The following is a 1,652-nucleotide window of genomic DNA, read 5'->3' as shown; positions in this document are numbered from 1 at the left end:
GCCACCCCGTCTGGGAAGTGAGGAGCGTCTCCGCCCGGCAGCCACCCCGTCCGGGAGGGAGATGGGGGGGTCAGCCCCCCGCCCGGCCAGCCGCCCCATCCGGGAGGGAGGTGGGGGGATCAGCCCCCCGCCCGGCCAGCCGCCCCCTCCGGGAGGTGAGGGGTGCCTCTGCCCGGCCGCCCCTACTGGGAAGTGAGGAGCCCCTCTGCCTGGCCAGCCGCCCCGTCCTGGAGGGAGGTGGGGGTGGTCAGCCCCCCGCCCGGCCAGCCGCCCCATCCGGGAGGTGAGGGGCGCCTCTGCCCGGCCGCCCCTACTGGGAAGTGAGGAGCCCCTCTGCCTGGCCAGCCGCCCCGTCCGGGAGGGAGGTGGGGGGTCAGCCCCCCGCCCGGCCAGCCGCCCCGCCCGGGAGGGAGGTGGGGGAGTCAGCCCCCCGCCCGGCCAGCCGCCCCATCTGGGAGGGAGGTGGGGGGGTCAGCCCCCTGCCCGGCCAGCCGCCCCGTCCGGGAGGGAAGTGGGGGGGTCAGCCCCCCGCCCGGCCAGCCGCCCCGTCCGGGAGGGAGGTGGGGGGGTCAGCCCCCCGCCCGGCCAGCCACCCCGTCCGGGAGGTGAGGGGCGCCTCTGCCCGGCTGCCCCTACTGGGAAGTGAGGAGACCCTCTGCCCGGCCACCACCCCGTCTGGGAGGTGTACCCAACAGCTCATTGAGAACGGGCCATGATGACAATGGCGGTTTTGTGGAATAGAAATGGGGGAAAGGTGGGGAAAAGATTGAGAAATCGGATGGTTGCCGTGTCTGTGTAGAAAGAGGTAGACATGGGAGACTTTTCAATTTGTTCTGTACTAAGAAAAATTCTTCTGCCTTGGGATCCTGTTGATCTGTGACCTTACCCCCAACCCTGTGCTCTCTGAAACATGTGCTGTGTCCACTCAGGGTTAAATGGATTAAGGGGGGTGCAAGATGTGCTTTGTTAAACAGACGCTTGAAGGCAGCATGCTCATTAAGAGTCATCACCACTCCCTAATCTCAAGTACCCAGGGACACAAACACTGCGGAAGGCCGCAGGGTCCTCTGCCTAGGAAAACCAGAGACCTTTGTTCACTTGTTTATCTGCTGACCTTCCCTCCACTATTGTCCTGTGACCCTGCCAAATCCCCCTCTGCGAGAAACACCCAAAAATGATCAATAAAAAAATAAATAAATAAATAAATGAAAAAAAAAAAGATACTTGATGAAAAAAAATGTAAGCTAAGGATATCATTTGAAGCTGATAAACCAAATAGCATTTTGAGTATACTTAAGAGTATAAAGATTAAAATGAAGGCAAAACTGTCAGATTGTTTGAACCAGAGCAACTTCATCTTGATTAGGGGCTGGATAAAATAAGGCTAAGACATGTGGGCTGCATTCCCAGACGGTTAAGGCATTCTAAGTCACAGGATGAGATAGGAGGTTGGCACAAGATACAGGTCATGAAGACCTTGCTGATAAACAGGCAGTAAAGAAGCCAGCTAAAACCCACCAAAACCAAGATGGCCACAAGAGTGACTTCTGGTTGTCCTCACTGCTGCACTCCCACCAGCTCCATGACAGTTTACTAATCCCGTGGCAACATCAGGAAGTTACCCTATACGGTCTAAAAAGGGGAAGCATGAA

General features: G+C 58.3%; 1 annotated feature.

Moving 5' to 3' along the window:
* Positions 700–1,263: an enhancer, noted in NCBI's record as "NANOG-H3K27ac-H3K4me1 hESC enhancer chr7:87894735-87895298 (GRCh37/hg19 assembly coordinates)". NCBI's record gives its function as "activates a minimal SCP1, AML or CMV promoter by ChIP-STARR-seq in naive H9 embryonic stem cells {active_cell/tissue: H9 hESC(naive)}" and the evidence as "EXISTENCE:reporter gene assay evidence [ECO:0000049][PMID:30033119]".

The sequence above is a fragment of the Homo sapiens genome, chromosome 7 (genome assembly GCF_000001405.40).
Source record: "Homo sapiens chromosome 7, GRCh38.p14 Primary Assembly".
NCBI classification, from domain to species: domain Eukaryota; kingdom Metazoa; phylum Chordata; class Mammalia; order Primates; family Hominidae; genus Homo; species Homo sapiens.
The sequence above is the reverse complement of the archived record's forward strand: the minus strand, read 5'-3'. Positions and strand labels throughout refer to the sequence as shown.